General features: G+C 37.3%; 1 annotated feature.

Moving 5' to 3' along the window:
- Positions 12,660-13,859: an enhancer, noted in NCBI's record as "BRD4-independent group 4 enhancer chrX:116381582-116382781 (GRCh37/hg19 assembly coordinates)". NCBI's record gives its function as "activates an origin of replication core promoter dependent on BRD2, P300/CBP, MED14 and CDK7 cofactors, and independent of BRD4, by STARR-seq in HCT116 cells {active_cell/tissue: HCT116}" and the evidence as "EXISTENCE:reporter gene assay evidence [ECO:0000049][PMID:35650434]".

Genomic DNA, 23,234 nt, shown 5'->3' with positions numbered 1-23,234 from the left:
GTTCCTCTGGAAGTTTTGTCTCAGAGGAGTACCCAGCCGTGTGAGGTGTCAGTCTGCCCCTACTGGGGGGTGCCTCCCAGTTAGGCTGCTCCAGGGTCAGGGGTCAGAGACCCACTTGAGGAGGCAGTCTGCCCATTCACAGATCTGCAGCTGCATGCTGGGAGAACCACTGCTCTCTTCAAAGCTGTCAGATAGGGACATTTAAGACTGCAGAGGTTACTGCTGTCTTTTTGTTTGTGCCCTGCCCCCAGAGGTGGAGCCTACAGAGGCAGGCAGGCCTCCTTGAGCTGTGGTGGGCTCCACCCAGTTCGAGTTTCCCAGCTGCTTTGTTTACCTAAGCAAGCCTGGGCAATGGCGGGCGCCCCTCCCCCAGCCTTGCTGCTGCCTTGCAGTTTGATCTCAGACTGCTGTGCTAGCAATCAGTGAGACTCCGTGGGCGTAGGACCCTCCGAGCCAGGTGCGGGATATAATCTGGTGGTGCGCCGTTTTTTAAGCTGGTCGGAAAAGCACAGTATTCGGGTGGGAGTGACCCGATTTTCCAGGTGCCATCTGTCACCCCTTTCTTTGACTAGGAAAGGGAACTCCCTGACCCCTTGTGCTTCCCGAGTGAGGCAATGCCTCACCCTGCTTCAGCTTGCGCACGGTGCGCTGCACCCACTGTCCTGCGCCCACTGTCTGGCACTCCCTAGTGAGATGAACCCGGTACCTCAGATGGAAATGCAGAAATCACCCGTCTTCTGCGTCGGTCACGCTGGGAGCTGTAGACCAGAGCTGTTCCTTTCTGCCTGATTCTAAAAAAAGAACCTAGAAGTGGCTTCAGGCTCACTTACTGTTTTATGCTTTTCTTTTGTCCTATTTCTGGTTCTTAGAGATAACCATATTATTTTTGATCACAGTACATCCTTTTGGTTTTTCTCGTCTTATATTTATACATCATAACTTTGTGTTTGGAATAGAGAGGTAATCAAAGAATGAATTCATTACACCTTCTCAAACAGATGTCTCTTTCTAGAAGTATTTGTACTTAATAGAGACCATTTAAGAATAAATGCCTCCAATAATATAAAATAATCATAACAGTGTGTCTTGAGGCAGCATGGCTTGTTGTTAAAGATTTAGGAAAAGGGTCCTTATGGAAGTCCTCAAACTGTATGAAATAAACAACTGCATATTTTCAGGATGGACACAGCAATGACATATGCAATCCCCTATCATATGGGTTTTCTCCCTTATATTAAGATTCTCTTGAACTCAATTCCATAATATTTGGAAGTTTAAGTAATTCCTAAATACTTTTATGGATTTCAAGGGACATAGGTTCCCATGATTCCCTTTAGTTCTGGACTCTTACTTTTAAGTGTGCTGTCTTCTATAATGTCCTAGTTCAAGCTCTTCCATCCAAACAAATCTTTTTTGCTTTACATCTACAAATAATCAAACAGAACAAAAGCCCTTTGATATGCAAAATCTGCGAAGCCTGGGAAAGAAGATTTACAATAAAGAAATAAAACTATTTCCAAATGGAATGTTAAAATGTTAAAACCCCGTTTCTAAGTCTTTCCCATGCACCCAAATGAATACAAGTAAAACTGAAGGATTCTTTATGAGATTAATGCCAATGTTTTGGTTGTGATAATCAATTTTGTGCTTCTTACTTGCAGCTGAATGGTAGTATTAGGGTTTCTGCCTTTGTGGTATCTTCAGGGCTAGGAAGACAGGTGGTGGCATGTAGGAAATTTCAAATCATTCCTTGATGTCGTATCTGATTACAGGTACTTAGATACAGCTGGAGTTTGGTAGAAAGAATAAAACAAGGGCTGGGAAATAAAGGGGGAGAAATGTTCTTTAAACTCAGAGGCAAGAGTGATATGCAGTTTATGTGAAGATGGTAAGTGATGATTGCTTTGACTGTAGTACATAGTCCAAGCAGTGCTAGAATGTACAGTTATAAAAGCTAATGCTCTGGGATATTTATTTGGGAGGCATTGATTCTGGATAATAATGGATAACACCTCCATGATTCTTACCATGTGTCAGACAGATAATCTAAGTCTTTTGCATGTATTGACGAACTTAATTCTCGTGACCTTTCCATGGAGTGAGTACAACCATTGTTCCAATATTTATATTAGGAAACAGAGGCCTAGCTTGGTTAGGCTACTGGGACTATGGTCACACAGTAAATTTTAGGTAATTTTCCTCTAGAATATGTATCTTTTAACACTCCATTCTCCTTCTGTATTTGGGTCCTGGATCTGCTACTTAATAGATATGTGACTGTAGGTAAGCTGCTTAATTTCTTTGAATCAAAGTTTCCTCAATAGCAAAATATATTGTTATGAAGATTAAATAAGGTACTACGTGTAAAGAACTTAGAGTAATGCTAGACTCAAAGCAAGAACTCAGTGCATACTAGCTGCTATTTTTAGTAATAGTGGTATTGTTGGTTTTTAAAATATTTTTATTCTTTTTTTCTCTCCCATTCCTGTCCTTTCCATCACTGACAACTGAAGAGAGAGTATTAGAGGTGATCCAAAACTCACATCTGACAGAGAAGTAGCCAGAGGCCCTTTAAAAATGAAGCCTGCCTGAAAATTGAGAGAAAGGACTCCAACCCCAAACTAGGACATGCCAAGGTGAGTCACAGAAATGTTCTCATCAAACTAATCAGTGGCTGCATATTAGATTAGGTTTAGAATAAAATGAGATAAATACTAAGAATTTTATGTTAGATTTATTTAAAACTTGTTTTACAAAATCCTTTAAAATCTTTTAAATGATGTATTTTTCAGAACCAATAGAAATATGAAAAGCATAAATTTAACTCAGTGTAGAAATCCAACATAAAGTAACAGCCAGCTCCTACTTCCTCCTATTAGATTGAAGCATATTAGAACACTAACAATTCACCATGGTGATCACACTCATACAATGTACACCTCTTTGATGAACAATTTATTAATATCTATCAATATTTTTAAGGCACATCCCCTTTAACCAAGCAATTTCATTCCTAGAAATGTATCTTACAGCAGTGCTCACCCAACTGAGGAAAGATGCATGCACAAGGCTGTGTGCAGCTCTTTTTGTATTTGCAAAAAACTGGAAACAGCTTAAATGTCCATCAAGCCCTTTATACTGCTATGAATATGTGCAGTGCTTTCCTAACAGGCATCCCTCCAGCTAAATTTTTCTGCTTTAATAACTAAAAAAATGCTTTCCATTCAATGAACTTGTCTATTGCTTTATGAATAAATCGCTGAATAATTTCAGTGGTTCTATTATTGTTTTCATAAACCAGAGAAGACTTACCAGAGGTATTATGATACCATATAAATGTCAAGAGGTGATTGAAAGAAACCATTTTTAGTGTTTAATCATTGCTTACTTTCATTTCTAGGCTATTTTCATTGCTCTAAGGGTTCAGCAAAATCTTGCCTTCTTTTCCAAACTGATCTTTCTCTCTAAAGTTTCTTGTGTTTTTCTCAAGCTCTTACTGTCCTTCATCTAATACCTGAAGGACTTAGTTATTGTCAAACTCCTAAGGAATTAAAAAAAAGAAGAAGAAAAAATAAATAATCCTGGAGGCTTTGGAATGGGAGAATTACCTATCTCTGTGAAAATGGTGATACTTTACCAAATATCAACTAGGCAATTTCTATGTAAGAAGAAAGAGAGATGGCCAATGAAAGATTGGATAATATTTTGAAATAAGAACCCAGCATGATCCTCTAGGGAAAAAATTAAAAGAAATGTTTTATAGAGACCTTTAAATGTTCAATTAAGTTTATTTAGCAACTTTTTTCTAATTATGGCATAACTATTCTGAGTAGAGATATCATTGCTTTATTCTGGATATTTACAATTGTGTCTGAAAGCCCATTTGTCCTTGGGAGACTAGCAATCAGTAAAGCAGATGATGAAGCTATAAATCTATGGAATTGCTTTGCCAAATATCAGCATCTCATCATTATGGTGGTGAAATGAGTTCTTGTACAGAATGCTATTGAATACATCTCACAATCACTATTTTTCAGTGGCTTAATCTACACTGCAAGTTGACTTAAAAATTTTCCCTGAAGCTTTGGCTATAAATAACAAATTACAGAAGGACAAAGCTGAAGAATAAAAAAAAAGTTGGAACAGATTTATTTTAAATATTTCAATTTGTGAATTTCTAAAGCAAGATTATGTATTTGCAGTCATTTCTAGCCACTATTTATGCATCTGTGCTCAAGAGAGGGAGATAAAGAGTATGATCATATTTAACTCAGAAAAGCAATAAAAATCACCTCTTTGTTCCAACATCACTTCTTTTTATTTTAGTTATTCAAAACATACATAAATATATCCTAGATTGCTACCATACCTGAGAATAAGATCTCAACAACTTACAGAAGAGTTTCAATGAATATTGTACCTTTTCATACATAAGAACATACTAGAGACATGAGGGTGCAAATTGAAAATACTTTTATAATTAGGTTCCTTCCTTCTATCAATTCAAAATAAAGCCGTTCTCTCCCCCGTCACCAAATACACACACATATTTTGATTTAATCATTAACATTGTAGACCCTTTTCGTTAAATTAAACCCATGCTAAGGTTGTCAAATATCCCAAATTGCTTGGAACTACACCACCATTCATCTTTTTACTCAAGTAGTCAACTGTCCTGCATGTTGCTGGATGCCAAATAAGTTTGAAGTAGCAATTTTTGGGTCTCACTCTGTTGTCCAGGCTGGAGCATAGTGGTACAATCATGGCTCACTGCAGTCTCACTGCCCCGGGGTCAGTGGGGTTTCCCTCAGCCACCCAAGTAGCTAGGACCACATGCATACGCCACCAGGCCAAGCTAAGTTTTGTATTTTTTGTAGAGATGGGAAGTAAAATTGTACTTTTCTGTTGCTACCAGGTGAAATATTTTCAATTCTATCACTAGAATTGATTTTCTTATTTGTCTATCATTGCTTATTGCAAGTTTTGGTCTATTGATTTGAAAAATAAACTCAGCCTGCCTTACAAGAGCTCCTGAAGGAAGCACTAAACATGGAAAGGAAAAACTGGTATCAGCCACTGCAAAAACATAGCAAATTGTAAAGACCATCAACACTATGAAGAAACTGCATCAACTAACGGGCGAAATAACCAGCTAGCATCATAATGACAGGATCAAATTCACACATAACAATATTAACCTTAAATGTAAATGGGCTAAATGCTCCAATTAAAACACACAGACTGGCAAATTGGATAAAGAGTCAATACCCATCCATGTGCTGTATTCAGGAGACCCACCTCACGTGCTAAGACACACATAGGCTCAAAATAAAGAGATGGAGGAATATTTACCAAGCAAATGGAAAGCAAAAAAAAGCAGGGGTTGCAATGCTAGTCTCAAAACAGCCTTTAAACCAACAAAGACCAAAAAGACAAAGAAGGGCATTATGTTATGGTAAAGGGATTAATGCAACAAGAAGAGCTATCTATCCTAAATACATATGCACCCAATACAGAAGCACCCAGACTCATAAAGCAAATTCTTAGAGATGTACAAAGAGACTTAGACCCCCACACAATAATAGTGGGAGACTTTAACACCCCACTGTCAATATTAGAAAAATCAGTGAAACAGAAAATTAACAAGGATATTCAGGACTTGAACTCAGCTCTGGACCAAGTAGACCTAATAGATATCTACAGAACTCTCCACCCCAAATCAACAGAATATACATTCATCTCAGCACCACATCACACTTATTCTAAAATTGGCCACATAATTGGAAGTAAAACACTCTTCAACAAATGCAACAGAACATAAATCATAACAAACAGTCTCTCAGACCACAAGCAATGAAATTAGAACTCAGGATTAAGAAATTCACTCAAAACTGCACAACTACATGGAAACTGAATAACCTGCTCCTGAATGACTACTGGGTAAATAACGAAATTAAGGGAGAAACAAAGATGTTCTTTGATACCAGTGAGAACAAAGACACAAGGTAACAGAATCTCTTGGACACAGCTAAAGCAGTGTTTAAAGGGAAATTTATAGCATTAAATGCCCACAGGAGATAGTGGGAAAGATCTAAAATTGACACCCTAACATCACAATTTAAAAGAACTGGAGAAGCAAAAGTAAAAAAATTCAAAAGCTAGCAGAAGACAAGAAATAACTAAAATCAGAGCAGAACTGAAGGAGATAGATATAGGAAAAACCCATCAAAAAATCAGTGAATCCAGGAACTGGTTTTTTTGAAAAGATTAACAAAATAGACCACTAGCCAGACTAATAGATAAGAATCAAATAGACACAATAAAAAATGGTAAAGAGGGTATCACCACTGGTCCCACAGAAATACAAACTACCATCAGAGAATACTATAAATACTTCTATGCAAATAAACTAGGAAATCTAGAAGAAATGGATAAATTCCTGGACACATACACCCTCCAAATACTAAACCAGGAAGAAGCTAAATTCCTGAATAGACCAATAACAGTTCTCAAATTGAGGCAGTAATTAGTAGCCTACCAACCAAAAATGCCCAGGACCAGATGGATACAGAGACGAATTCTACCAGAGGTACAATGAGGAGCTAGTACCATTCCTTCTGAAACTATTCCAAACAACAGAAAAACAGGGACTCCTCCCTAACTCATTTTATGAGGCCAGCATCATCCTGATACCAAAACCTGGCAGAGACACAACAACAACAACAACAGCAACAACAACTTCAGGCCAGTATCCCCGATGAACATCAATGTGAAAATCCTCAATAAAATAGTGGCAAACCAAATCCAGCAGCACATCAAAAAGCTTATCCACCATGATCAAGTCGGCTTCATCCCTGGGATGCAAGGCTAGTTCAACATATGCAAATCAATAAATTTAATTCATCACATAAACAAAACCAATGACAAAAACAACATGATTATCTCAATAGATGCACAAAAGGCCTTTGATAAAATTCAACACCCCTTTATGCTAAAAACTCTCAGTAAACTAGGTATTGATGGAACATATCTCAAAACAATAAGAGCTATTTATGACAAACCCACTGCCAATATCATACTGAATGTGCAAAAGCTGTAAGCATTCCCTTTGAAAACTGGCACAAGACAAGGGTGCCCTCTCTCACCACTCCTATTCAACATAGTATTGGAAGTTCTAGCGAGGGCAATAAGGCAAGAGAAAGAAATAAAGCATATTCAAATAGAAAGAGAGGAAGTCAAATTATCTCTGTTTGCTGATGACATGATTATATATTTAAAAAACCCAATTGTCTCAGCCAAAAATCCCCTTAGGTGGATAAGCAACTTCAGCAGAGTCTTAGGATACAAAATTAATGTACAAAAATCACAAGCATTCCTACACACCAATAACAGATAAACAGAGATCCAAATCATGAGTGAACTCCCATTCACAATTGCTACAAAAAGAATAAAATACCTAGGAGTACAATTTACAAGTGATGTAAAAGGACCTCTTCAAGGAGAATTACAAACCACTGCTCAAGGAAGTAAGAGAGAACACAAACAAATGGAAAAACTTTCCATGCTCATGGATAGGAAGAATCAATATCGTGAAAATGGCCAAAATGCCCAAAGTAATTTATAGATTCAACACTATCCCCATCAATCTACCAGTGACTTTCTTCACAAAATTAGAACAAATCTACTTTAAATTTCATATGGCACCAAAAAAGACCACATATAGCCAAGACAATCTGAAGCAAAAAGAAATAAGCCACAGGCATCACGCTACCTGACTTCAAACTATACTACAAGGATACAGTAACCCAAACTGCATGGTATTTGTACCAAAACAGGTATACAGACCAATGGAATAGAACAGAGGCCTCAGAAATAACGCCACACATTTACAACCATCTGATCTTTGACAAGCCTGACAAAAACAAGCAATGGGGAAAGGATTCCCTATTTAACAAATGGTGTTAGGAAAACTGGCTAACCATATGCAGAAAACAAAAACTGGATCCCTTCTTTACACTTTATACAAAAATTAACTCAAGATTCATTAAAGACTTAAACATAAGACCTAATACCATCAAAACCCTAGAAAAAAACCGAGGTAATACCATTCAGAACATAGGTATGGGCAAAGGCTTCATGACAAAAACACCAAAAGCAACGGCAACAAAAGCCAAAATAGACAAATGGGATCTAATTAAACTAAAGAACTTCTGCAAAGCAAAAGAAACTATCATCAAAGTGAATAGGAAATCTACAGATTGGGAGAAAATTTTTGCAATCTATCTATCTGACAAAGGGCTACTATCCAGAATCTACAAAATTAAACAAATTTACAAGAAAAAAAAACCATCAAAAAGTGGGCTAAGGATATGAACAGACACTTCTCAAAAGAAGACATTTATGGGACCAATAAATATATGAATAAATGCTCATCATCACTGGTCATTAGAGAAAGGCAAATCAAAACCACAATGAGATACCATCTCACTCCAGTTAGAATGGCAATCATTAAATAGCCAGGAAACAACACATGCTGGAGAGGATGTGGAGAAATAGGAATGCCTTTACACTTTTGGTGGGAGTGTAAATTAGTCCAACCTTGTGGAAGACAGTGTGGCGATTTCTCAAGCATCTAGAACCAGAAATACCATTTGACCCAGTAATCCCATTACTGGGTATATATTCAAAGGATTATAAATCATTCTACTACAAAGGCACATGCACACGTATGTTTATTGCAGCGCTATTCACAATAGCAAAAACTTGGAACCAACCCAAATGCCCATCAATGTCAGACTGGATAAAGAAAATGTGGCACATATACACCATGGAATACTATGCAGCCATAAAAAAGGATGCATTCATGTCCTTTGCAGGGACATGGATGAAGCTGGAAACCATCATTCTTAGCAAAGTAACACAGGAACAGAGACCCAAACACTGCATATTCTCACTCATAAGTGGGATTTGAACAATAAGAACACATGGACGCAAGGAGGGGAACATCACACACCAGGGCCTGTCAGGGGGTTGGGGGCTAGGGGAGGAATAGCATTAGGAAAAATACCTAATGTAGATGATAAGTTGATGGGTGCAGCAAACCTACCATGGAACGTGTATACTTATGTAACAAACCTGCACTTTCTGCATATGTATCTCAAAACTTAAAGTATAATAAAAAAATAAAAAGCTTAATACTTGTAGACATAAATCCACAGTGTTGTTAAAAAGATTAATGAATAAACAATTGAAGGTAGTGTAGGATCATGATGAGAGTAAATAAATGCAATTATATCTGGATACTTCAATCACTTTTTAAAAATGCAGTATTATTTAATCAGCGGCACATTAGAAAGGATGGCCAAAGTATTTTATTCTTTATTGTCATCTTATTGCCCATTTAAATCAGTCATTTGCAGTACAAGAGTGCCAGTAAAGTTCTGTTTAAAACAGTAATTTTCAAAAACCTAAAAATCACAGATAAAAACGAATTGGTTCCTTTAAGATCAGAACAAGGAAAGGATGCCCACTCTTACCATTTCTATCCAGTATAGTACTGGAAGTTTCAGCAATAGCAATTATGCAAGGAAAATAAATAATAAGCTTTCAAAATAGAAAGAAAAGTTTCTATTGTGCCTGTTTGCAGATGATATATTCATATATATATATAAGAACCATAACTATTCTACCAAAAAATTATTAGAATTAATAATCCAGTTTAGTAAATGTGCAGGATACAAAATCATCATTAAAAATAATCCAGTAGCATTTTTATACACTAACAAGAAACTATCCCCCCAAAATTAAGAACACAATTCCATTAACAATAGCCATAAAAATATAAAACAGCAATAAATTTAACCAAGGATGTGACAGACCTATACAAAGATACTATAAATATTGATAAATGAAATTGAAGACAAAATAATAGAAATATATCCTGTGTTCATGGTTTCGAAGAACTAATAGTATGAAAATGTTCATACTACCAAAGTGATGTGCAGACTCAATGCAATTCCAATCAAAATACCAATGACATTCTTCACAGAAATAGAAAAAAAAACTATCCTAAAATTTATATGGAACTACAGAAGACCCTGCATAACCAAAGCAACCTTGAGCCAAAAGAACCAAGTGAGAGGCATCAGGCTACCACACTTTAAAATATACTCTAAACCTATAGTAATTTAAACCACATGATACTGTCATAAAAGCAGACACATAGACAAATGGAACGGAATAGAGAGCTGAGAACTAAATTCATGCATTTACAGTCAACTGATTTTTGACAAAATTGCCCAGAACACACAGTGGGGAAAGGACAGTCTCTTCAATAAATGTAGTTGGGAAAACTGGATATCTACATGCAGAAGATTGAATTAGACTCTTATTTCACATCACATAGAAAAATCAGCTCAAAATGAATTAAAGAGTTAAATATAATATCTAAAATTATAAATGTAAAAGTACTAAAAGAAAACAAGAAAGCTCCATGGCATTGGTCTAGGCAATGATTTTGCGGATATGACCCCAAAAGCATGGGCAACAGAAGCAAAACTAGAGAAATTTAAGCCTTCTTTACAGTAAAGTATATTTAGGGTTTGGTACTATCCAGGGTTTCAGGCATCCATTGAGGGTCTTGGAATATATCTCCTGTGGATGGAGAAGGACTATTGTATATCAAATAAATAAATATTGTTTTCATAGCAAACAAATTTGAATTGCTTATTTTTTAATCCACCTGAAAACTTGAATGCCTAATATTATCACTTTTAAAAATGTTCCTTTGACCAGAGGTGGTGGTTCACGCCGGTCATCCTAGCACTTTGGGAGGCCAAGGCAGGTGGATCACTTGAGCTCAGCAGTTCAAGACCAGCCTGGGCAACATGGTGAAACTCTGTCTCTACAAAAAATACAAAAATTAGCTGGGCATGGTGGCACACACCTGCAGTTCCAGCTACTTGAGGGGCTGAGGTGGGAGAGTTGTTTGAACCTGGGAAGCAGAGGTTGCAATGAGCTGAGATCATGCCACAGCACTCCAGCCTGGGCAACAGAGTGAGACCCTGCCTCAAAAAAAAAAAAAAAAAAAAAAAAAGTTCCTTTGGCAATAAGAACCCAATAAGAACGATGACAGTTTAGCTATGTTTTATATTAACAGTCTTTGTGTGTGGATGTGTATGGAGTCAGGGGTGACTTTAAGGGCAGATAGATAGTTTGCAGATACTTTGTTATTAGCACAGAAATATCAATACCATAAAGTAATCAGATCATTGTGCAATGTTAAGTGGAGACAGGAATTGGGGCAATAGAACCAGATTAATAGAACAAGGAAATGAATCTGGAATAATGTGGAGATTTAGGACTATTCTAGTCAAAATAACAAAACCCTTCATTAATGCCCTATTAAGGAGAGATTATAAACTCTAGTTACTCCTTAATGCGGGAATAAAACAATCCTTCCCACAAAAGACCCCTTCATACCAACATAGAAGAGAGAGCTGACACAATTTAATAATACCTTCAGATATACATGCATGTAAGCACCATGATAGTCTGAACAGATTTATCTGGGCAGAATTTCACATAAATGCATGCCAAAAAGTATAGGAAAGAACAATTAAAACTTCTCTTATTTCCTTGAGAGACAAATGTACCTTGTATTTCTTTTCTGTATACCACCTGAGAGTTTTAATTTCAGAGGTGTGTGTTTATAGTGCCAAGGGTCAGAGGATTATAGAATCAAAATGCCTGGCCTCTTCTTGAGCTAATCATACTTTCAAGAAATATCCTAAGAAGGGAAATGCCCTCAATGAAAATTTCATCATTTTATCTTTATAATCTATGTGTGTAAGTTTGTAATTTTAGTTATTGCTTGAGCTAGTATACTCATATGTATTTATGATTTTTATAATTTGACTGTTAAAATATGTTTAGTTCTGGTGAGCGTTCACAGCATATATCAAGGGAATGAGACTGGATGCAGGACAACCTAGGCAAATGTTTGTTTGGTTGAAAGGAAACACCTTTTTCCAAGCATTAACACAGTCCACCATGGCTGATGGATTTCAAGCCATATTTGCTCAATAAGGTAATACAATAAAAGCTAAAGGCAGCATATTCTTGCTAAGATATCTCAAAACAAAATCCAAAAGTTTACAAATCCCTATACAAATGTACAGTGTTGATTGTGAAAGTAACATTCCAGCCATTAGAATGAGTCAGCCCCGAACCATGAGAGAATAAAAGGCTAAACTATTGGATTTTCCTGAATGGCAAAGGGTTATCCCAGGGAGTTTGTAAATGGCCCACATCAGTAAGTTTGTTTTGGCCTACACAACATCAAATCTCATCTCCTTTTTCTTTGAAAGAGAGAGAGGGGAAGGGCAAGGGCAAGGGAAATAGGAGGTGGAGGGGGAGAGAGAACAAACCATTCAATACAGAAGATTGTGAATCCCTTTAAAGAATTGTTCCTTGACCAAACTGAGGGTCAGGGTGTTATTTCTCATGGCCCAATAACGAGATGCAGATGAACTGGGGAAAAAGAGAGTTGTTATTTCTGTAACTGGTTACAAGGAGAAGGCCTGGAAATTATTGCCAGACCAACTCCAAATTACAAAGTTTTAGAGAGCTTATATACTTCTAAGCTATAAGTCTACTTGTAAATGTGCATTCATCTACATACATTAGTGATTAACCTATTTTAATCTATAACTAAGGTCTGAGTCCTGAAGTCCTTCCTCTGGAGCCTCAGTAAATTTACTTACTCTAATTGGGTCCAGGTACTGGTGTGTCTGGAATTGGTGGGTTCTTGGTCTCACTGACTTCAAGAATGAAGCTGCGGACCCTCGTGGTGAGGGTTACAGTTCTTAAAGATGGTGTGTCCAGAGTTTTTCCTTCTGATGTTCAGACGTTTTCGGAGTTTCTTCCTTTTGGTGGGTTTGTGGTTTCGCTGGCTTCAGGAGTGAAGCTGCAGACCTTCATGCTGAATGTTACAGCTCTTAAGGCAGTGCTTCTGGAGTTGATCATTCCTCCTGTCCAGAGTGTTCATTCCTCCCGGTGGGTTCGTGGGCTCGCTGGCCTCAGGAGTGAAGCTGCAGACCTTCACGGTGAGTGTTACAGCTCATAAAGGCAGTGCGGACCCAAAGAGTGAGCAGCAGCAAGATTTATTGCAAAGAGCAAAAGAACAAAGCTTCCACAGTGTGGAAGGGGACCAGAGTGTGTTGCTGCTGCTGGCTTGGGCAGCCTGCTTTTATTCCCTTATCTGGCCCCACCCACATCCTGCTGATTGGTCCATTTTACAGAGAGCTGATTGGTCCATTTTGTCAGGGTGCTGATTGGTGCGTTTACAATCCCTGAGCTAGACACAGAATGCTGATTGGTGTATTTACAATCCTCTAGCTAGACGTAAAAGTTCTCCAAGTCCCCACTAGATTAACTAGACACAGAGCACTGATTGGTGCGTTTACAAACCTTTAGCTAGACACAGAGTGCTGATTGGTGCGTTTACAATCCCTGAGCTAGACACAGAGTGCTGATTGGTGCATTTACAATCCTCCACCTAGACATAAAAGTTCTCCAAGTCCCCACCGGATTAGCTAGATACAGAGTGCTGATTGGTGCATCCACGAACCCCGAGCTAGACACAGAGTGCTGATTGGTGCATTTACAATCCTCCAGCTACACATAAAAGTTCTCCAAGTCTCCACTCAACTCAGGAGCCCAGCTGGCTTCGCCTAGTGGATCCTGCGCTGGGACCGCAGACAGAGCTGCCCACCAGTCCCACGCCATGTGCCCACACAGGATGTAATTGAGTAGAAATATACATAATGTCAAATGAAAGCAAATCTGGACTTAATAAAGAGAGACTTTATTCAAAAGGATTATTTTGCAAGATGGGAGGAGCAGAACTATTGTAACAGGGAGATAGGGACTATTATAATAGGGGGAAATTTGTGACCATAATATCTACAAAGTATCTCAAGAGTAAGGTGAAAAGAGTTTTCTTTTATAGAGAGGAGTATACATAGCTAGAAAGAACCAGGTGTAGGGAAGCAGGTTGAAATTGTGGCGCGATGGAATAGTAAATCAGAGAAGGTTTTACCCTGAGGCTGGTTTATTTTCCATGAGGGCCCTTAGAGAGAGTTTGTATGCTGTCTAGGCTGAGGTTGGGCCAATGTTCTGCAGCCTGGGAGAAAAAGTTTTAGACAAAGTTTGGTTAAGAGGCATTACATTCCAAAAGATCGGTAGGCATAACCAGTTCAATTAATCATTTATGAAAAGAATGGGAATTTGTAGGGTCTGTGTCTGGCCTTGCCATATGAAAACAAAGGGGCATCTGTGAGTATTATCTAAGTCGCATGGGGAAGGGTAGTTTTTTGCAGTAAATCATTTTCCATAATACAAGAGTGGGGAGTTTCTTTAACCTAATTTGTTTTGTAGGAGCACAGGGCTCAGGTATAATTCAATGTTGTCTATAATGTGTTTCATTAAAGCTCAAGAAATTAAGGTATCAAAGATAAGATAAGAGCTTCTTGGCTTAATAGCAAGATTATATATAAAACAGATTTTACTTGGTATGCAACATTAGTGTGATATGATGGGAATAAAAGGACAACTTTAGGCGCTATATTAATAGAAGTCTATCAGGAAGAGGGCTTAGTAGTCTATATTGTGGATTGTGCTGGTCAGAATATATCTGGAACAGCATGTTCAGTTCTGTATATGTGTGTTGCAGTTTTAGATTGACTTTAAACTTACATTTCTTATATTGTCTCTCTGCAAGGTAACTAGGCCTGTCTTTAAATATTTGAAGAACTGCCAGATCAAAGTGGGGTTATGTGTGTATCTTTTATAACTTCTGTGGTTAGAAACAGTCAGTGAATGGAAGTTGTGAATGGAAGTTATGAATGGCAGATTCTTGTTCAACCAAAGGAAGAATATTTTTACATTCTCCTTCTTCAGAGGAGTTCTAGTCACTGGAAGTAATCAAGCAGAAACTGAATGCACACCAATTGGAGGTGTTGTAGGGAGGGTTCTGCATTGGATGGGAGGTTTGGTCTAATTTCTTAATTCCTTCCCACCTCTATGATCCTGTGATTCTCCCAGCTGACCAGTTCAATCTACTTCTGATTCATCTTTCTTAGAGGTACTTTTTCCCTTCGAGTTTGTAGAGGATTCAGAGTCATCCTCAGCAGTACCAAGTGCTTATGACAGCACAGTGTTAGCTTTGGAAAAATGCATTTTACCTTATGTAAATGATCAAATGTCAGAGATGTTAGAGACCATATCTCTTAGCCAGCAGTCCCTGTCTTTCTACATTTTAGGTCCTCTGCTCTTCCACAACTTATAAAAACTGAGCTATTCTTCTGTATCCTTTGGTTTCCTTCTTCTCAGACTGATAGAAACATTTGTTTTTATTTCCATAGTGAGTGTCCTTGTTGTTGGTCATGAAGGATAGCAGAATATACCACCTCAAAATATGCCATTCTGGAATAAGGATTATTTTGAGCTCAAGGTAATAGAGAAAAAGCTGATACAAGAATAGGACTCTTTCCTCCCCCTATATGCTCCAAAGCAGGACATAAATTTGTAAAGGTGGCCCCTCTCCTCTCTCTACGAGGAAGGACAGAAATTAATCACCAGAGACAACTCTAGACCCTTATCAGCCCACAAAGGGCAACAGAGGAACCTATATAATGAACCTTTACTAACTTGCCCTTATCTTACATTAGCTCCCGAAAATGTTTACTTTCCCTCAATTTGCTGACTCCAAGAAGCTTAAAGTCTTTTTCCTTTGTCTTGTCAGTTTCTCTACAAAATGTATTCTTTTTAAGGTAGTATATAAACCCAAGTTCTAACCACTGTTGAGACTTCTGTTTTTCTCTTGTTAATTTATCTTTTGTCAGTCTAATTTACAGGGCGCCAGCCAATGAACCTAAGATGCATAAAGAAATAGGAACATTTTTCCGTCCCTATTGTCATAAGCACATACGTATTATTATATAGGCTATAACTGAGCTTAAAGTACTTTTTTCTTGTTAAAATGTTTTATCTGCTATGTAGGGTGGAAGATTCTTAACTGAGCCTCATAACAAAATGCAATAATCTTTTTGAGGGTCATACTTGCCCGTGGAAATCTTGGAGAAGCATGGAGACAATTAATCCCCAATCACACCTCAGTGTATATAAATACTCATAACCATCCTTAAGTGATTTTTTTACATGTGAGGAAGTTAGACTCAGTAATAATTAAAAGAGTTGGAAAAAAAGGAAAGTGGTGGAATCACCTTCATTGCTAGATTTAATTACTGGGAAACATTTCAAAAACTAATCTCTGCTGCTTAGAATTCTGGGTTTGGGTTAATTGACCCCTGAAACTGTTCCAGTGCTAGTTCTTTGGTATTATATTGCATATACCAAGGGAATAAATCATTTTATATGGATGTGGATGGATCATAAAGCAATAAAAATCCTAATGCTCTGGAGACAAATCCAGAGCTTTCTAGTGGTCAGCTTGCTTTTGAACCTCAGTGGGAGCTGCTCACCTGTGGTGCATGAATTGACCATTTCTAACTGCCAGATATCTCATTCCACAGTGAAGCTGGGTTCTGGAGAATATTTCATTTGCTTATTTTCAGTGGAATGGATTATATTCTTGGCCAGGAGGGACCACCAAATAAGACTCTTTCTTGTGCCTTTACCTACAACCCTTTTACACATAGGGAGATTTCCTGTTTAAAAAATATCCAAGGAAGATTGTCAATGCTTCTCCTAGTATAGCTGCAATACTTTGGACATTTTTTGTCTCATATCAAGTCCTAACTCCTTATGCTGCAGTTTAAACCATACTTATTTATTTATTCTTTCTCAGTAGAAGTTGGAGGATAAATAATGGAATCCAACACTTTAGTTATACAAATGAGGAAACTGAGGCCAAGAAAGATTAACTAAGAGGATTACCCCAGATAGCCCAAGTAAAAGTATGAAAAAGGTTCACATTAGAAGCTTTGGCTGTTTGTTTTTTCTCCTGCTTCAAGCTGCCACTGCAAAATCCTGTTAGGCCTTTTGGCTTTGCTCTTAATTCACCATATCCACGTTGGCATAAAAATCTACACAGATCTGGTTTTTCATCTAAGATTTTACCTTTAACATTGTGATCTGAGAGACCAAAAGAGATGGCCCTTTATCAACTAACAGGGACCCTAAGGTTAAAAAATATTACCTGTTGGTTGAGGGTTCAGGGCCTGACTGGCATGGCAAATTTTTAAATACTCCCCAAACTCCCTAACAATAGGAACTACCAGGCTGGTTTACAACCCAGACCACTACACCTCTGATTGGATGGAAGACTGGCCTTACAAGTATTCTTCTCTGATAAGAAATCATAGACCTTAAGCCATTTTCAGCCAGTTTATAGAGGGTGCACACAAACTGTCTTTGTATCCTATAGTTCATCTTTTGACATAAAGAACCAAATTCCATCTCACTTTAATGTATGTTACATGTATGTTTACCCATTGCATATGTGCTTGGCTCCACTCATAAATGTAATTTAGCTTTTCTTCCTACCCTGATGAAAATGTATGACTCTATTGTGTGATATGGAACCTGTGAAGCTTGAAACCCAGTTTGGCTTTCCCTCTTCAAAGAGAGCATCCTCAGTGCATGCTGGAGACTTTCTCCTCCTGGCTTGCAAACCAATATCACCAATAAGGCTCTCCTTTCTACTATTTAGCCATCCTGGTCATCTTTTGGATGACAACATTTTCAATTAATTAATTTAAATACATGAAAATACAATAATTTCATGGAGTACTTAAAACAGGATGATTAAAGTGACCTTGGATATGGGGCACCTGGCGTTTGATGAAAACCTGGAGGGGCAATAGGGATAGACAACAAACCTTTTTGAGTTGCATTTAACTTATTTTATTTATATTTTTCAGGAAAAATTCTATTTGATCTCTCACATTTATAAAACAAATCTTAGATAAAAATAGAAAGATCTCTGTCAAACAACTTGGCTTTGACACACCCCATAGAGTTCCCCACTGTCAATTACAAGACCCTGGATACTTTGGAAATGAAAAGCCTCTGATAGTGACTGCAGCATATTTTGATGATATGAATGTGAGCAAATAAATTGTTGGCATAGTCTTTTATAATTTTCCTCATCCAATGGTGATGATTAGAGAAATACTGCTGCTAATTGCATCCCCTGAAACATGTCGCCACTGGACTGTGACTGTCGTAAGTAAGCTCCAGTCCCTGGAGATGATGCTAATGGAAGAACATTGTAGATTCCATAGGATGAAGACAGGCAATCACCCTTTCTCCATAAGGTCATATTTCTGCATCTTCACTCCCTCATTTCAGGAAAGCAGTTTCCCTTCTCCTGGCCTGAACTTAGCACTTTACTTAGAATTTTGAAGTCACCACTTCTCTCCTGCTCTGGAACCTTGTGCCATCAATACCTCTATTCTCTTGCACATTCAATGCCCGCTTCTCCCATAGTCTTTTACCCTCAGCATGCAAACCTTTTTACATTTTTCCATGTAAGTTTGGAAAAGAAAATCTCCTTAATTCTGATATCTCCTGAAATTACACATACAAATTTAAAATAAGAGGCTTAATTCTCTCTGTTGAAAATAAGAAAAGACACTCCTCTCCTCTCTCTAATGTTTGAGAACTTCTTTCTACGTTCTCTTTGAATGTATGTAAATCTTTACAATCACTGAATAACACTCTCATCAGTCTCTCAACTCAGTAACATTTCAAGGACCTGGAAGGCATCTTTCTGAAACACAAACATCAAGAGAGATAACGTCCTTACCTCCTGTGGGAGGGAAAGAGCCTACCTTCAATGGGAGCCTCCCTCCAATTTGCAAAACTACCTCTTGTTATTAAGTTATAGGAAGTGTCAAACTAAAGAAACTAAAGTGTCCACATAAAGGCATTCAACTAATAAAGGGAATTTCCCCAATTTTCATAGTAAAGTTATGATGAATTATGTGTGACAAAAGGTGTTGTGGAATATTCTTATGTGAAGACTACTTATTGTTTATCTGAAAAACATATACATAATGGATTGTAGCTGCTTGGCTATATAAAAGTGTAAATTTTCTTTTCTCTTTGTAATGTCTTAACAGATTGCCTGTGATTTGCATGACATTCTGGTTTAATACTTATTCAATAATAAAACTTGTTTTTATCTCTCCTACCTTTGTAGAAAGATTTTCTGGGTTAGGAAAATATTTATTTTGTTTCTCTTAATTATATTTCCCCATCACTCCTAACTTGCCTAGCTTATTTCCCTTCATTTAATTTTAATTTACTTCAATTTTTTTTAGAGACAGGTTCTCACTCTGTTGCCTAGGTTAGAGTGCAGTGGCATGAAACTTGCTCACCGAAACCTTGAACTCTCAGGTTCAAGCAATCCTCCTTCCTCAGCCTCCCAAGTAGCTGTGACTACAGGTGCATGCCGCCACACCCAACTAATTTAATTCCCCTCTTTTTAGCAGCAAATTGCTTGAAGGCATATTATATACTGCTCTTTTCTCTCTTTGGCCTACTTACTCATTAGCCCAGTGGTTCTCAGACTTTGCTGCATGTTGAAATTATTTGATGAACTTTAAAAAATTCTGAAAGATACATTCTGATTTAATTAGCATGGGCATTGTGACTTGGGCATTGAGCTTTTAAAATGACTATCAGGTGTTTTTTACAATCTGTAGCAATGTTTGGGAACAACTGCATTAGCTCCCTTCTAATATGACTTCTGCTTACACTGATTGAAACTTTATTCTGAGGTTAAGAAGTAGATGAATCTAGGAGAAAACAGAGATGAGATTATACTCCTGCTCTACTATTTTCCTTCAACAAAGTTAAACATTTAGCCGAAAAAATACTCTCTCCTTGACCAAACTTTAGAGGGAATCCTTTGAGACCTGTTTTTGACTAAGTCTCAGCTTGGGCCTTGGCTTCACCCTGCCTAGTTCAGTTGGAACAAGAATCCTGCTAAGTCAATGTACGGGAAGAAACATAACTTTTTCTCCACCATTCATAGCTGTTAGTTGAAACAGACTCTTATAACGAAAGACAGAATAACAAGAAAAAATCAAATGAAAGTTCAATAACATGTAAACCTCGTGTATATGTGAGAGACACCCAGAGAAATGACTCAATATCAAAAAGGTGGTTTTGAATTCAGGCTTAAATACCATTGTCTGCTGAAACAGGGAAGGAAAGATACTGGAGAGACCAATAATAAGGATATGACCAGAAAAAGCAAAATAATTAAGTGTATAGTTTGTTATGCAGGTTTAACTTGCTATCTTCTCTACTGATAAGAGTCTTTAGTGATTTAAAGTCATCCTTCTTGTCCTGGTACAATAATGGATAGATGGAGATTTTCTTTATAGATGTAAATTTATCTTAAAAAATAGTAACTTCTATGTTGTTTTCAGAGATTCTTCTGTGTTTGCAGTTACTGAAAAAAATCAGCTCAAACTAATCCTTATGCCAAAAGGAGCATATTTGGGGGTGGCACATTCAGGTACTCCACAAATATATTTTGAGATTGCATATTTTGGTCTCCTATATCAGTTTGGAGAGAGTTTCCCACCCTTAGTATTTAATCACGTTCAATATTTGATCAAATTTCTTTTCCCTTACCCTTGATATTGGATAACCCTGTCTTACCTTCAGCAAGATTCCTAAGTCATTCTAACTAAGATTTCCCTACCATTGATGTTTCTTAGTAGTAATTCTCCATTCAATAACCCTACCACAAACTCTGTTCTTTGGCTATAAGTCCTCACTTATCCTGCTAAATTCACAATTGAGCTCAGCTCTATACTGAGATCTCTTTTTTCCTATTACAGTAGATCCTGAGTAAATATGTTTTTACTACTTTAACTACTTTCTGGCTCTGGTTTTCTTTAAGAAACCTCAGTTTTCTCAATATGTAAAATGGTTACAATAATGTCTTCTCTTATAGAATTGCAGTGAAGATTAAATGACAAATACATGTGAAATATTTAGTGTTCAATAAATATTATTAGCATGAGTTATCTCCTACACACACATCCAAGTTCTCTTTTTCCTCAGTACCTTCAAACTCTCTATGAATTCTTTTGCTGTTTACCATCCCTCCTTTAAAATCCTCTCCTCTTTTAGCTTCTGTTTTATTGCATTCTCCTGGTTCTTTGGTTACCTTTTTTACTTTTCCATCTCCCCCTTCCCTTTTCCCATATCCCAAGTGTAAATGACATAAGCATGTGGTTGGGCTCTTCTCTCCTTATACTCATCCTGTATAGTCGCATTCAGTGTCAGGAACTGCCAGTCTACCTTTTGTGTAAATGCATTCCAGAGCAGAGCACAGCACCTGATACCTGATCAATAAACTTTCAATAAACTTGTTGAAGGTATAATTTCTATGATTCTGATCATCACTGCTTCCTAATATTGCAAAGACCTGCTGAGTTGAATATCTCTACCTGGATGTTATGGTCTATCTTTATTTGTTTAGCTTTTTTCTGTGTTTCCTATTTCTTTTAATAGTGCAAACACCTCTCAGTCACAGAGACTTAAAAATGAAATAATCTTTGACTTCTCCCACCCCCTTGCCTACATAGCCAATTATTTGCCAAGTTGGGTCAATTGTAACTCAATGTAATTTGTTGAATATAGCCTTTTAATTAGCCTTGCAGCTTTTAGTTTCCTGGAAGCCAGCTATTAAAACAATTACTACATCTCCCACCCTGTCTTTTAAAGCAATAATTGTGAGAGTTTTTTAAAAAACCAGTAAAATGGTTTTTATCAAGCACAATTCTCAATTTGCACTCTAAGAGCAGATGCAGGCAAGAGAAATGTTTAGCAAACCTAATATAGGTATATGAATTATATTTTATATTATGAAACACTGGAAGTTTCAGAAAACATTCATAAGAAATGTTAAAGGGCAAAATTTAGTTTATTTAGCTATTAACAAAAATTTGAATGGTAGATATGGTGATGTCTGCCAGGAACAAAAAATGTAATATTTTTTACTGAAATATTTTTAAAGACACCATAGTAACTCCTGATATGAATAGATTTATTCATTTTCAAGGAAAAAAGATAATTGAATCATTGTTAGGTTACTGATATACAATTGTTATCGAACATATTTGCTGGTATTTAGTTGCTGGTATTTAGTTTTCCTATATTACTGAGAATAGGGCCACTGCATAGCAAATCTCTACTGTGCACTTTTCCCATTGAACACTTCGATGCTCCTCAGAGTTGTGCAACGTGGTGGCAATTGTGGCTGAATTATATAGGCTTCAATTTGATAACCTAATTTCCTCCCTCAAGAATCTAGATAAAGGAGAGCAAAGTAAACCCAATGCAAACAGATGGAAGGAAATGATAAATACAAGATTGTAAACCAGTGGAATTGAAAACAAGAAAACCATGGAGAAACTTAGTTAAAAAAATAAGTTCTTTGATTTGAAAACTTAGTAAGATTGGTAAATCTCTAGCAATACTGACAAGAAAAAGAAAAAAAGAAAAAACATGAATCACCAATGTTAAGAATAAAACAGATTTAAGTACAGACCCTGAAGACATCAAAAATATAATAAGCAAATGTTACAAACACTTTACACCTAAAAATTTGATTATTTAAATGAAATGGACCAATCATTTGAAAAACATAAACTACCACAACTCACTGAATATCAAATAATTTGAACTGCACTATAACTATTCAAGGAATTGGTTTTGTAATTTAAAAGCTGCCAAAAAAGATATTTCTAGGTATAGATGGTTTGACTTGAGAACTCTACCAAAAATTTCTTCCAGAAAGTAGAAGAGGAAAAACTACTTGCCAGCTCATTTTAGGAGGTCAGTATTCACTTGATACCAACCTGAAAAAGACTGCACGAAGCAAAACTACAGGGCCGGGCGCGGTGGCTCATGCCTGTAATCCCAGCACTTTGGGAGGCCGAGGCGGGTGGATCATCTGAGGCTAGGAGTTCGAGACCAGCCTGACCAATATGGTGAAACCCCGTCTCTACCAAAAATACAAAAATTAGCTGGGCGTGGTGGCGTGCACCTATAGTCTCAGCTACTTGGGAGAATTGCTTGAACCTGGGAGGCAGAGGTTGCAGTGAGGCAAGATTGTGCCACTGCTCTCCAGCCTGAGCCACAGAGTGACACTCCATGTCAAAAGAAAAAAAAAAAAACTACAG

Source organism: Homo sapiens, chromosome X (genome assembly GCF_000001405.40).
Source record: "Homo sapiens chromosome X, GRCh38.p14 Primary Assembly".
Lineage (NCBI taxonomy): Eukaryota > Metazoa > Chordata > Mammalia > Primates > Hominidae > Homo > Homo sapiens.
Note: the sequence above shows the minus strand (reverse complement) of the source record. Positions and strands in the feature narration are given on the sequence as shown.